The sequence below is a fragment of the Homo sapiens genome, chromosome 14 (genome assembly GCF_000001405.40).
Source record: "Homo sapiens chromosome 14, GRCh38.p14 Primary Assembly".
Lineage (NCBI taxonomy): Eukaryota > Metazoa > Chordata > Mammalia > Primates > Hominidae > Homo > Homo sapiens.
Window position 1 is genome coordinate 64,703,977 of NC_000014.9, and position 13,885 is coordinate 64,717,861.

A 13,885-nucleotide genomic window follows, 5' to 3' on the forward strand; every position below is an offset into this window, starting at 1 on the left:
CGGCCGGCTCTGGTAGGATTAGGATCCCCAGATCGATCCCGGCTGGTCACTCACTTGGGAAAGCCCTCAGCCCCCTTCGCAGGGCCCGGTGTTCCCTGTCCATACAAGGGGTACGTTCTGGCAGTCCATGCTGTCTCGGGAGGCGGTGATAGCAGGTCTGTGACACCAGGGTGACCCCACCACGTGCGTCTTGGTATCCTAGAGCATCTAGGCTGCCCGGGGGTGCGCGCTCATCACCCTGCGGGCGTTAATCGTTAACCGCGCCCAGGCCTCGCCGCCGCCGCAGCCTTACCCCGGCTCTGGCTCGCCGCGCCGCGAAGGTTGCCCCGGCCCCCGCAGAGCCGCCAATTGCTGGACTGCAGCCGCGAGCTGGAGTCTCCACCCACAGGAAAAATTCCTGGCCCGCCCCTCCCTCGCTCCCTCGCTCCCTCGCTCCCTCGCTCCCTCGCTCCCTCGCTCCCTCGCTCCCTCCTGCCCTCCCGCTGCAGCTCCGGCTCCGCTCGACTTCCTGCCGGGCGCTGGCAAGCCGCGCGCTGCCTGGGGTCTCCGGGGGCCGCGCTTGCAGCTGGCCGAGTCCGGGCCAGCTGAGGGGCTGGCGGTGGGCGGGAGCGGTCGGCGGCCTCAGCCCCTTCAGAGAGCGACTTTCAAACTCGCGCCCGCGTCGCGGCAGCACCTGGGCAGCCCCGCACGCCGTGCGCGTCCCGAGCCCGCGGGGCAGCTACCGCTCGGTGAGTGTCCCCTGATTCTCCTCTCTCCCCTCTTATCTCCCTGCATTAGGCTGAGCGGCGGTGCCGGCAGTCACGCTGGGGCCCCAGTCCCTTCGCGGCCCCCGTGCCAGCCCCCTGCGGGGTGAGGACCGGGGCGACCGAGGAGGGCCTGGAACTGTGTTGGCTGCTTCCCGGGCCACCCTGCCGCAGAGTGCGCGAGCGCAGGAGGGTCGTATGGGGAGACTTTTTCTGTCTTTTTTTCCCTCCACTCCGGAAACAAAAGGGGCAAATGCGCCGGGCGGCTCCAGAGAGGCTCAGTTTGAAATCCAGGAAGCCCGCGAGGCCGCGCGCGCCCGAGGGCTGGTGTTTGGCTGGAGCTGTGGGCCTGGCGGGTGGACCCTTCTGCGCGAGGACCCGAGCCTCGGCTCCTGCCAGCCCCGGAGGCGCCTGCAGCCTGTTCCGGGTTGGCGCCGCACGGTGCTCGCTGTTGGGAATCTCGGCTACCTGTCCGGCAGGGAGGAGAGTGGGGGCCAGAAGCGGGGAGCGGAAAGCCCGGCCACCAGCTGCCTCGACCTCGTCCACTCCTGAAGTCGGTTTGGTTCTTCGCACCCCTACACCCAGCCCTTTGGTTTGGAAAGCCAGTATAAGGCGTGCAAGCTTAAATTTTTAAGGCGTTAAATAGCTACTTTGACTCTTCGGGGCGCCTTTGGAACACAAAAGGAAGAACGGAGGGGAGAATGGAATGGTTGGAGGCTGGAGAGGTGTGGCTTTTGGGGAGGGTGTTGTTAGAGGCCGCGAAAGAGTTTGATCCTCGAGGTCACTCGCTAATCTGTTGGCATATGTAGGTGCCTGTCCCCTGCTCTGGGGGCCCCAGCAGGAGACCCACACTGCGTTCACCTTACGGGGAACCCTGGAGTGGGGGTTCCCAGAGTCTCCCCAGCCGTGCCTCTGCACGCAGCCCAGTCACATGGCCCTTGCTCAAGAAATAATAAGCAGGGAGGGCAATGACAGTCCGGAGCGGGGGAGGGCCTCCCCGTTGAGCACATCGGCCACCTCGCCTTCAGCAGTGTGGTTTTCCGGGCCATCCTTTGTTGGACAAGGATGGGATCCTGAGTGATTAAACCCCAGCTGTTCCCCAGGAGGAAACTAGGGAGTGAGAACCAAAAGTGTACATTTATCTCTCTGTTATACATCTCTCCCCTGTGGTTCCGGGCTGGCCCCCTGGATGCAATGGCCTCACTTCTCCTTTCGACACCTGCTGTCCTCCACTCCCTTCCTGGAAGATAGGACAACCCATTAGCTCCCTGGGTAACTTGCCCTGGGGATGGGGCAGGAAGTTGGGGGAAGAGGTACCCAGAGGCCAAGTCCTAGCTGCTGAGGGAGTGATTTGTTGAAGAGCTGCTTTGGGGGCTTTTCTACTGCCTTTTATTAGAAGTGGCATGGCAGGGGAAGTGGAAAGAGCACTGGCCTGATAGTCCAGCACGGGTTTATGCCTGAGTTTTAGACCTGGCTCTTCTGCATAGCATGGAAGATTGGTAGAGTTGAAGAGTGCGAGTCACTTGGGCTGGGGGGCCCCTTGGATTAGCCTACTTCATTTACTCGTGAAGGCAGCAGAGCCCAGAGGGGTGAGGTGATTTCAGCCTTAGACCCTATTGGCCAAGTAGAAACCAGAGGTCAGATGTCCTCATTGTCTGATCTGTGTTTTCTCCAACATGATCTGGCCAATTCACTTATCTTTTCTGACTCAGTTTCCACATAAATAAAGTGGGATTACTTGCCTGCTCTTCCTCATAGGAGCTGTGGTGAGGATCAAAGGAAGCCTCATTTGTGGAAAGTGCTCCATAAACTCCTGTTAAAACTAAAGGGCTCACAGTGGCTCGGGAGGGAGTCTCCCAAGGGTTTTACAATTTGCTGGCTATGTCCCACGTGTGTGCCACAAGGAGACGTTAGATACCAGGAGCCATTGTTGGATGTTTAAAACACCCTGGTCTTAATATCTCAGCCCCAGAGTAAACATTTGCCTTACCAAATCCGCAGCTATCCCACGGTCACTGTTTACGCTGGAAGAGGCCAAAGGCCACGGCCTGCGGGATGACCAGGGCTGGAGGGGGAAGGCTCCTCTGTTGCAGAGGTATGCCTTGCCCGTTCTCTTCTCCCAGCTCCCAGAACCTTGTGAAGGCTCCAGCTGTAAGCCAGGGGTGCTGCCACAAGCCCAGGCCGCCCTGGCCTTGGAGGGTTAAAAGTGAAGCCCTCTGGCTATTCTCTGTTGTGTTGGGGGTTGCAGGGACTCTGGGAGGGTGTTGCTTTTGCAGCTGCACTGAGGGCTGTCTTCAGCTCCTCATCTGTGCCCCCTCCCCCATCTCAGGCCGCCCCTCTGGCCCAGGCCACTGCTCTGTCCCGCCTCTCTGGCCAGCTGCAAGTCCACAGGCCTTTGTTCCGTGGCTGCAAACCCGCCCTACTCCATCCTCCCTCCTCAGCAGAAGCCCTCCAGCGGGGGCCCTGGCAGCTGGAAATCACAACTGCCAGGAGGAAGGGGCTACTGGAGCCCCCAGCGGACCTGGCAGATCCTCATTTCCTCTTGTCAAGCTCATCTGGGCCCCACAACTCACCTCTGGCCAGATTCCCACACCGTCTTTTCTCATCTCTCCTTTCTTCTGCTGAATGGACGGATCACCTTTTCCTCCCAGTACTCATGCCCCTTAGTTCTATTTTAAAGTACTCTATTCATTCATTTAATAGTTAAGGAGTTAGCACCTACTATGTATGAATGCCAGATGCAGAAGACACAGCAGTGAAGAAAATATACAATAATTATTGACCCAGTGGAGCTGACTTTAGCAGAAGTGACAATAAACAAGATTGAAATAGCAAGTGTGTTAGTGATAAACAGAAATAAAAAATATGATAGGGAAGGTAGGTGTGAATTGTCATGGAAGGGGTGAGGTGACAGTTTAGATAGGGTGGCCAGGGAGGCTTCCAGGAGGAAGGTACTTTTGAGGTGATGCCTGAAGGCGGTATTTTTCTTCATCGCTGCCTTTTCTAACTTGAAGCCCAGTTCATCCCACTGTGGCATCGAGGAACAGAGTTTGGAGTTGGACACACCTTGGTTTCAAATCCCTGGCTTGACAGCTCACTAGCCCTGTGGACTTTGATGTGGTGCTAAATTCCTTTGAGCTGTGTTTCTTACCCAACGTGGAGTTAGTCATCATACTTACCACATGCGGCATCATGGCAATGTACAGTGAGATAACGTATGTTGAATGCTTAGCAAAGACTATAGAGAGGTTCGATAAACTATTTCTCCAACCAAATTCTGCAGGGGTAGCATGAGATATTTAATGTCATTGCTAAGGACTGTAGGTGCAAAGCTTTTCATTTTAGATATTGGGCAGGAGTGGGGAATTAGAGGGAGGGGAAAATAGAAAACCTTGGCAAAAACTTTCTGGTTAGGGAGGCTTTCCTGCCCTACCCTAGATTGCAGATGGCTGAGGACGTGGGACTCCCAGGTATGTCCTATGCCCACCCCCATCCTACAGATAGGATGACAGGGGCAGCCCTGACCACCCCCCTCTTGCTCTGGAATTCCCCCTGCTTCCAGCCAGACTCAATGAATCACACCTTCTCCCTGACCTCCCGACTCTGCCTCACAGCTGGGAAGGCTGTCCACCCCTCCCCCAGCCTCCGGCAGGTAAATTATGCCTGGAGGTCGGAAGCGGAGTGGGGCGGGGACAAGGGGTAGGGAAAGTGAGGGAGGGGGCAGATGGTGGGTGGAGCTGTCCTAGGAAAGCCCAGAAGGGTGGCAGGAGGATTCTGGTGGAGGCTTCGAGATGGCTCGGAAGACTTTGAATAAGGGTTCGCCAGGGACCAGAATTTAAAGTAACAGAGTGACAGACACAATGAGAACTCAGGGTCGGCTGCCTAACTCCTAGCCGCTTCTACCCAGCTGATCTGCTGAGTCTCCGACCCTCTCTGCTGGAACCACGGGCCTACAAAGGGAGGGGTTTAATCTAAAGTACCGCTGTCAAAGTTTGTGGTGAGTGGCTTCCTGGAGACCCTGCCCTAGTTCAGGAAGTGAGAGATGGGCAGTGGAGGATGAGGCCTAGGGAAGTGGTCATGGCCAGTTCCACCCCCCCGCCCCACCCCCCAAGTATGTCGCTGCACACTCGGCAGCCAGGCAGGCCCTGTGATGAAGGAACTTCCTGGGACTGCCAGTTGGTGCCTGGAGACGGGTAAAAGCTAGATGATCTGATATTAGAGGAAGTTGCAAAGAGGGCCCTGAACAGCCCCAAGCATGTTAGTGTTGGGTGACCTGAAGTCAGGAGAAAGAAAACTGGACAACGTGGACTAAACTGATCAGCAGGGGGCCCATCTAGAGCTGCTGGTAGCCCCTCTGTCTGTCAGCTGCCTGGGGATAAAGGTTGGCCATGCTAACTGGGTTGCTATCTGGGGACAGGAATGGTGCTGGACTCATCTTTGTGCCCAGACAGCATTGAGAATGGTACAAAGTGTGATCAACAGGGAGTGATGGGCTTCAGCCGTGGTCCCACCCTTAGAGTAATCTGGGCTTGTGGTCTCATTTGCTACAGCTTTTGTTCCATGGGATTAGGGAGAAGAAGGTAGTGTTAGGGTCGAGTCCAGCCCTAGGTGGGCTGTTGCCATCTGGGAATGCAAGCACTAGGGAGAAGAGGGCTTTATACAGTTCTGGCGGCTGGCCTTTGGGGAGGGAGCCCTACGTAAGCTCAAGGAATGGATTTTTAAGGACTTGCACTCTCTTTCATGCTGAGCAGACTTGGGCTGAACACAACCCAAATAGGGTTCTCGTGGGCACAGTGGTAGCTGTGCATGCAGCCTTTTGTGAAACACAGTTTGAGGGTCCTAGAAGTTGATCTGATTATTGCCAGAATCGGAGCTGGGACTGGAAGGGAAAGATGCAGGAGGAATGAAGTCGATTTTACCTTGGGAACAGGGTCCCAAAAGGAGAGATGGTTTCTACAGGTGCCGGAAGCTCTTAAAAACTCACATCCTTTACTTCCTAGGCTGTGAGACTGTGTGTGTGTGTGTGTGTGTGTGTGTGTGTGTGTGTAGTATTAGAAAGGAACCAGTATTCTCATATAGCTTCTATTCCTTCAGTTCATTGCTACATCCCCAGTGCCTGTTGTACAGTAGGATTCCAATAAGTATTTGTTGAATAAGTAAGTAAAACCCTACTGTGTGACGAGACCTTAGGAATTAAGGAAATGCTCACACTATGAATGTTCTGTTCCTGACAGAGAATGTCCATAAGATTCTAAGAAGTTAACCTGTAGTCAGCTGTTCTGACAGTGGGACAGGAAGCCCTGTATTCCTGCAGCATGTAAGAAGGAGACCTACAGTCATTGGGACCTGTCTTCCAAAGCTTGCTACACATTTTGCTCCCATGCAAGTTGGCCCCAAAGTGGACAGCAGGGTGTATTTATAGCGTTGGATATAGTTCTTCCCATAATGTGTTCCATAATATCCAATAACACCTCTCCTACCCTAAACTCTTATTTGGAACTCAGCCACCCAGCACCCTTGCTTATTTGCATGTAGCCAAGAAGGTCGAGGACTCAAGGTCCTACATTTTTCTTCATGCCAGTCTTCTCAGACCCTGTTTAACTTCTACATATAAGCTATGTCATGCTATGTTCAAGCTGGGAAGAAGCAGCAAATGAAAGAGGATAAAGGCCGGGCGCAGTGGCTCATGCCTGTAATCTCAACACTTTGAGAGGCTGATGCCGGTGGATCACCTGAGGTCGGGAGTTTGAGACCAGCTTGGCCAACATGGTGAAACCCCGTCTCTATTAAAGATAACAAAAATTAGCTGGGCATGGTGGCGGGCACCCGTAATCCCAGCTACTCGGGAGGCTGAGGCAGGAGAATCACTTGAACTCAGGATGTGGAGGTTGCAGTGGGCCGAGATTGCGCCATTGCACTCCAGCCTGGGCGACAAGAGCAGAACTCTGTCTCAAAAGAAATTAAAAAAATAAAATGAAAGAGGATAAAGAAACAAGCATAGAGGGGGAAAAATGACTACAGTGCAGAGTTGGCAGTGAGAGCAGACTGAGATAAAAACTCCAGGAAAAGCAAGTGCTAGCAGAAGTGCCGGGGATCTTTTTTTTTTTGGAGGGAGGGGGTGTGGAGGGAATGACTTGGCACACCTTGGGTGTCTGGGGATCATCAGTTTGATAATTTATGCTTTGCTGGTAATTGTGACCCAGAGTCATCAAGAAAAGGTTAAATTATGTTCCCTTGACTCTGTTTAGGAAGGCAGGGAAGTGTGTAACGGATTTTTAAAAGATTCCCAGTCAGGTTGGCTAAAATTTTAAGTGTTGATACTTAGGTAATAATATCACTAATCCTTTAAATAAGACCAAGTAGGTGGTTTACCCACTTCACCCACCCCAGATGAGGAAACCAAGTCCCCACGAGTTGGGTAACTTGCTCAGGATCGCTCAGCTAATACTTGGCAGGGATGGGGTTTGAACTTTTGGAGCCCGCTCTTAGCCCTACCCCACACTGTTTTGAAACTCTGCATGCTCTTGCAAATGCTGCTTTTTGGATGCCCTCTCTCTACAGAGGTTCCAGCTGGCCAAAGTTTGACTGTGTTACAGTAGAGCCTGGATGAGTCCAATCTTAATTCGGCTCCACCCAAGCAGATTGCCAGTTATCCCAAAGGGTGTTTGCCTCAGTTGAAACAAGAATGCTTTTTTTTTGTTTTTTTTTTTTTGAGACGGAGTCTCACTCTGTTGCCCAGGCTGGAGTGCAGTGGCATGATCTCGGCTCACTGCAAGCTCCGTCTCCCGTGTTCATGCCATTCTCCTGCCTCAGCCTCCCGAGTAGCTGGGACTACAGGCACCCACCACCACGTCTGGCTAATTTTTGTATTTTTAGTACAGACAGGGTTTCACCTTGTTAGCCAGGATGGTCTCGATCTCCTGACCTTGTGATGCGCCTGCCTTGGCCTCCCAAAGTGCTGGAATTACAGGTGTGAGCCATTGCGCCCGGCCAAGAGTTCTTTATATATTCTGGATACAAGTTCATTGTCAAGTATACGATTTACAGATATTTTTTCCCATTCTGTGATTTGTCTTTTCACTTTCTTGGTAGTGTGCTGTGAAACACAAAAGTTTAAAATTTTGATGATGAAGTACAATTTATTTTTTCTTTAGTTGCTAGTGCTTTTGGTGTTACACCTAAGAAACCATTGCTCACTCAGGTTCATAAAGATTTACTCCTATCTTTTCTTCTAAGAGTTTGATAGTTTTAGCTCTTACATTTAGGTCTGTGACCCATTTTGACTTTTTTGTATATGGTTTGAAATAGGTGTCCAGATTCATTCTTTTGCATGTGAAGATCTAGCACCTTTTGTTGAAAAGACTATTCTTTCTCTATTGAATTGTCTTGGCACCCTTGTTGAAAATCAGTTGCCAATAAATATGTTGTTTTATTTCTGTAATCTCAATTCTCTTTCATTGATCTATATGTCTGCCCTTACACCGGTACCATATAGTCTTGATAACTATAGCTTTGTAGTAAGTTTTGAAATCAGGTTGTATCAGCCCCCCAACTTGGTTCTTTTTCAAGGTTGTTTTGGGTATTCTGGGTCCCTTGCTTTTCCATATGAATTTTAGGATCAGCTTGTCAATATCTGCAAAAAAAAAATCAGCTATATTTTGATAGAGATTGTATTGCATCTTTAGATTGGTTTGTTGAGTATTGCCATATTAACAATGTTAAATGTTCCATTCCATGAACAAGGAATGTCTTTTAGGTCTTCTTTAATTTCTTTCAACAGTGTTTTGTGGTTTTCAGCATACAAGTCTTACACTTCTTTCGTTAAATATATTCCTAAGTATTTTATTCTTTTTGCTGCTATTATAAATGGGAGTCTTAATTCCATTTTATGATTGCTCATTGCTAGTGTACAGGAATAAAATAGATTTTTGTGTGTTGATCTTGTATTCTGGTACATTGCTGAACACTTTTATTGGTTCTAATAGTTTTGTGGTAGATTACTTAGGATTTTCCATATACAAGTTCATGTTATCTATGAATAGAGATTGTTTTATTTCTTCCTTTTCAACCCAGATCTCTTCTATTTCTTTTTCTTGTCTAATTGCCCTGGCTGGAACTCCAGTATCGAATATAGTGGCAAGACTGGATATCCTTGTCTTCTTACTAATCTTAGTGAAAAAGCATTGTCTTTCTCCATTGATTATGATGTACCTGTGGGTTTTTCATGGATGTTCTGTGTAAGGTTGGGGATATTCTCTTCTCTTCCTAGATTGTTGAGCGTTTTTATCATAGAAGAGTGTTGGATTTTGTCAAAATTTTTTTCTGGGTGTATTGAAGTGATCAGGTGATTTTTACACTTTATCCTATTATCAACCTGAATTATTTTAATTAATTTTTAGATGTTAACCTAATCTTGCATCTCTGGGATAAATCCCACTTGGTCATAATGTATGGTTGTGGTTGCTAGATTCAATTTGTTAGTATTTTGTTGAGGATTTTTGTGTCTATATTCATAAGGAATGTGGGATTGTAGGTTTCTTTTTTCTGATATCTTGTCTGGTCCTGATGGCAGGGTAATACTGGCCTCATAGAATGAGTTGGGAAGTATTTCCTGCTGTTTTTTTGTGGGGTGAGAGTTTGTGAAGAGTTGATATGAATTATTCTTTAAATGTTTGGTAGACTTCACCAGGGAAGCCGTCTAGTCCTGGGCTTTTCTTCATTGGAAGTTTTAAAGTTACTAATTTAATCTCTTGTTTAGACTTTTTCTTTCTAAATCTGTCAGTGGTTTGTGCCCTTCTAGAAATTTGGCTGTTTCAACAAAGTTATCCAATTCATTGGCATATAGTTCATGACATTTCCTTATCATCCTTTAAGATATTTTTTGTCTTTGGTGTTCTGCATATATACTATATACAGTATGTCTGAATGTGGGCTTATTTGAAGTTTAGCTTGGTGTGTGCCTTCAATCTGAGGACTAAAGTCTATCCTTAGTTCTAGAAAGTTCATATACATTATCTCTTTGAAATTTGCACCTTCCCCCATTTCCTTTTTTTTTCTCTGTGGACCTCTAAGTCTATTAATGTTTATATTTCCTATCTTATTTGTTTGAATTAAATTCAGGATGATTTCTTCAGTTTATCTTTCACTTAACTAATTCTCTCTTTAGCTGTGTTTAATTTTCTATTTAACTATTGGGTTTTATATTTCAATATTGAATATTTTATTTTCATGTATTGCTTTTTCTAATTGGCCTGTTCCTTACCCCCTATACTACCATCTTCTTTTATTAAGATTTTTATCTCTTTTATATTTCCAATCATTTAAACTATTCATCTTTAAACATCTTTTGTAGACCTATTCTTTAATTTCTAGTTCTTTGAGTGCCAGTTTGTTCAATTTTCTGACTTCCTTATGATGGTTTGTTTCCTTGTGTGGTTTGAAATTTCTGTATCAGGTTCCTCTTCAGTGGTTACAGAGGATGGGATACTTCAAAGCAAGGTTTTGGAAGCGTGCACTTATTGGTGATGATGAGGTCTGGGGCATATGAGACATGTGAGTGGATGGCTATGGTGGGGTAGAGGAAAAGACTGTTGGAAGGCTCATCCCCCAAAGCTTCACATGTTTGGCTGCTTCTTACAATACAGGTCTCTCTGCTCTAGAGTCACCTCTTTAATGCCTTCCCAGGCCTCCTTAGCTAGTGGAAATTCCCATCTCTCAGAGTATTCTGTTTTCCCTCCTCTATCTTTTTCATAGCACTTACACTTTCCAAAAATGTGTTAGTTATTTGTCTACCTTTTTGTGGCCGTCTTGCTTACTGGAATGTAAGCTCCATGAGAATGAGGATGTGTCTTATTCACTGCTGTGTCCCTAGCACGTGGCACATGGTTTATACTGTCAATACATGTGAGTGAATTTGAGTAGTCTTCTTTTCACACAGGAAGTCATCCCAGCCATGATTCTGAAGCTTTCTTCTGGGCTGGGTATGACCAGGCAGCGGAGAGGAGGTGAACAGCTTGGCCTTCCCTTCCCAAACTTAATATCTGTGCTCCCACTGGGGATGCCTTTTTCTCCCAGCACAGCGGCCCCCAAAATACCATCCATGCTGTGTGCTTCCACCTTCTGGCATGTTTTTACACAGTGGCCAAAATGAGAAGTAGGGATTTGAGTGCCAGAGGACCTGGGGGGAAAAAAGCACAAAACACTGGAAGACCTGGTTCTTACCTCTAGGAGGTTGTTACTGAGTTGAGGCAATAGAACACTCAGAGAAAACAGCTTGGGATACTTGCTACTCACTGAGACCCCGTGCAGGTTGGTACCCCCACTGCAAGAGTGTGTGGGTGGAGAAGGAAGGCCTGTGTCTTGGGGTTGTCTACTGCTGGTTACGTACTGTTTTTGGAGGCATCTACAGGTGAGTTATGAATTCCCAGGTGACTCTATTTGGCTCCTTTCTGAGGTTGCCCCATACTCTAGGAACTTGTGAGCAAAAAGTGTTACTTGTAAAAAAAGCAAAAAGTGCATGAGAGCATTCCTATGAGGTAGGGTGAGAGATGGCCTTCTTGGCTTCGTCTCTCGGGCCATGTGGGAGGTTGTGGAGAGAATGGTGAAAGGCACAGGGAGTGTGGATTCCAGCAAACCCTGGCTCCTCTACTTCCCTGACTGTATGGCCCTGGGTACCAGAGTGTTGTGAGGAGATTATATAGAGAATGTGTTTTGCCTTATGTCTGGTATACTCGAATAAATGCTAGCTGAGGTTATTTCAGCCAGGCATTTGGAGAGCCACTTGTGCCTCAGTTTCCTGACCTGTAAAATAGGGATGGCCACCTGCCTTTCCTCTCTGCCCCCACTATTGTGAGGGCAGAAGGGTTAATTATCCTTCAGCCTCGAGGGCCTGGGGTGGGGGAGGTGCTGCATAAACAGAGCATTGTTGTGCTGGTGAATGATCTGGCTTTGTTCTGAAGTCTTCAGTATTTGATTCCTGCAGTTAGTATCCCCTGTGCTTAATTGCTGGAGGTTTGTGCAGGTCCTCAGCCCTGTGGCGCTCACCTCCCAGGGCTGTGGCCTGGGTCCCTACCCAGCGGGGACCTGCAGAATTGTGTCGGGAAGTTGCATTTCCTGGGCTAGGGCCCCCCAGCAATCAGGAATGAGAGAAATGCAGAAAGTATGACCCACACGCAGAACTGGTTCTGAATAGAACATTTATTGACGAAGTTTTGCAGGAGGCGGCGGGCGCTTTAATTCCCGAGGCTGTTGGTGGCAGCTCGCTGCTCACCCCAAGCCTGTTAACTGCTAGGTTGCCGGTGCTGGGGACAATGCGGCTGCCCGGCCCCTCGCCACCCTCGTGGTGCCCGGATGGGAGCTCTCCTGAGGAAAGCGGTAGGTACCCGGCTGGGGCCAGGCCAGGGGATGGGAATGGGGTGGGATGGGGACTCTTTCAACTCCGGGCCTCTAAGCCTTGCCGGACTTCCCCCAGGAAACCCAGCCAATCACAGGCTTTAGGGTAAAAGGCAGGTTTTTCCCTTGTGGGTTAGACACTGAGGACCATAAAGGGAGCAGGCATAGGTGAGCTGCTCTTCTTAGTGGACTGTCATGTGTCTGGGTGACACAGCAAGACAGCCCTTTTGGAGGCAACTGTAAATGGTTCTGCCGGGGACTTCAGGGGGACTTCATGTCGTGAACATTTGGAGTTGAGTGGTTAGAGAAGGTCATGTAGGGCCCTACACACACACACACACACACACACACACACAACACACACACACACAACACACACACACACAACACACACACACACACACACACACACACACACACACACACACACACACACACACAAAGCAGAGTTAATCTCCCACTTCTTCCTGATGTTTCCTTTTCCCAGAATCCACAGAGGGTGGTTGTTTTGGATCAAACCAAGCGTCAGCTGGTAGAGCAGTTGAAAGGAGGTTATTCCCCTGCCCTGTCTCCTCCCTGGTGGGCAGCGGACCCCGACCCTGGCACCCACCACTTCATAGTTCAGAGCAGCAGGAGTGTGGAGGTCGGGGCAGATCGACTGCAAATCAAGGCCTCACTTTTCAAGGAGTAGACGCTGCTTCCTCGGCCGTGTCTCTACACGTGTGCACCCCAGAATTGGGATTGGGTAATACTGCCCCACCGGTCTGAATTCTGGTCCATGTACGCTCCCAGCTGAGGCAGGAAGTGCCCCTCCTCTACCCAGGAACTGGTTGGATGAGTTTCTTAGGCGTCTCTGGTGAGGCCCCTTAGTAGGGGAAGCGGGGAACATGGGGGATGGGGGAAGGAGCTATGGGTAGAGAGGGGCCCCCTGGGCCCTGTAGGATAGGGGAAGTGTGTGTGGCCCTGCTGGCTGAAGGGCTGGCCGCCTTTGGGAATTTACACGTGTGTGTGTGTGTGTGTGTGTGTGTGTGTGTGTGTGAGTCCATAAGGTCTGCTTTGGAAAATCCACTTTCCTAACTTCTCTGGGTCAGGCACCAAGCCCAAGGTCAGAGCCCAGGGCAAAGAAAGGGGATGTGTTGGAGCTCTTCTCTTGCTGTATCACCTTCGAAGAAGAGGCGAGGCCTGAGGGAGGGGGAAGGCCAGGGTTGTCTACATAACTTTCTGGGTTTGGATGCTCATGCTTGGAATTGGGAAGGGAGTTGTGTTTTAGGGAATTGCCCTGGCAGCCTTGCCTCCAAGCCACCATTCTGATGGGCTTGGGAAGGGAAAGTGAGAACTGGGGGAAGGAAAAAACCCTTGGGTAGTAAGATGCACACAAACTCCTCCCCCAGCCCAGTTGAGAGCTGCTGGCCTGAAATTCCTCTGAGAGATTTCTTCCATTTAAGAACTGGCATCTCAGTTTTCTAGGGTAGGTGTTCTCTTCCTGCTCCTAGAGGCAGTTAATTTAAATGTAGTTTCATCTCTTGACGTTCATATTGGGTCTCATTTCTTCCCCCTTTGCAAGGGTTGGAATGGGTCTCATTCTTTCTAGCTAATGTTCCCTCGATCTCTCGCTCCTCCTCGAAGCTGTCTCTGAATAGCCAGCACCTTCCTGGGCTTCTGCATTCTTCTTGAACACTCCCTGGCTCTAGGGACACCTGCAGCCACAGCCCATATCATGGTTTGGACCTTTTTAGGGCACATTCTGACAC

At 49.4% G+C, this 13,885-nt stretch overlaps 1 protein-coding gene across 1 annotated transcript in view, besides 3 other annotated features; it reads left to right on the top strand.

Annotated features, from left to right (window-relative positions):
- Positions 1 to 447: 447 nt before the first annotated feature.
- The window catches only part of PLEKHG3 (pleckstrin homology and RhoGEF domain containing G3), a 45,826-nt gene continuing 32,388 nt past the window's right edge, over positions 448 to 13,885 (top strand). The window contains exon 1 of the mRNA NM_001308147.2: positions 448 to 728. The gene's annotated coding sequence lies outside the window, so the exon portion shown is untranslated. The remainder of the gene's footprint in view (positions 729 to 13,885) is intronic.
- Positions 4,462 to 4,963: an enhancer, noted in NCBI's record as "NANOG hESC enhancer chr14:65175156-65175657 (GRCh37/hg19 assembly coordinates)". NCBI's record gives its function as "activates a minimal SCP1, AML or CMV promoter by ChIP-STARR-seq in primed H9 embryonic stem cells {active_cell/tissue: H9 hESC(primed)}" and the evidence as "EXISTENCE:reporter gene assay evidence [ECO:0000049][PMID:30033119]".
- Positions 11,301 to 12,220: an enhancer, noted in NCBI's record as "OCT4-NANOG-H3K27ac-H3K4me1 hESC enhancer chr14:65181995-65182914 (GRCh37/hg19 assembly coordinates)". NCBI's record gives its function as "activates a minimal SCP1, AML or CMV promoter by ChIP-STARR-seq in naive and primed H9 embryonic stem cells {active_cell/tissue: H9 hESC(naive and primed)}" and the evidence as "EXISTENCE:reporter gene assay evidence [ECO:0000049][PMID:30033119]".
- Positions 12,221 to 13,138: an enhancer, noted in NCBI's record as "H3K27ac-H3K4me1 hESC enhancer chr14:65182915-65183832 (GRCh37/hg19 assembly coordinates)". NCBI's record gives its function as "activates a minimal SCP1, AML or CMV promoter by ChIP-STARR-seq in naive and primed H9 embryonic stem cells {active_cell/tissue: H9 hESC(naive and primed)}" and the evidence as "EXISTENCE:reporter gene assay evidence [ECO:0000049][PMID:30033119]".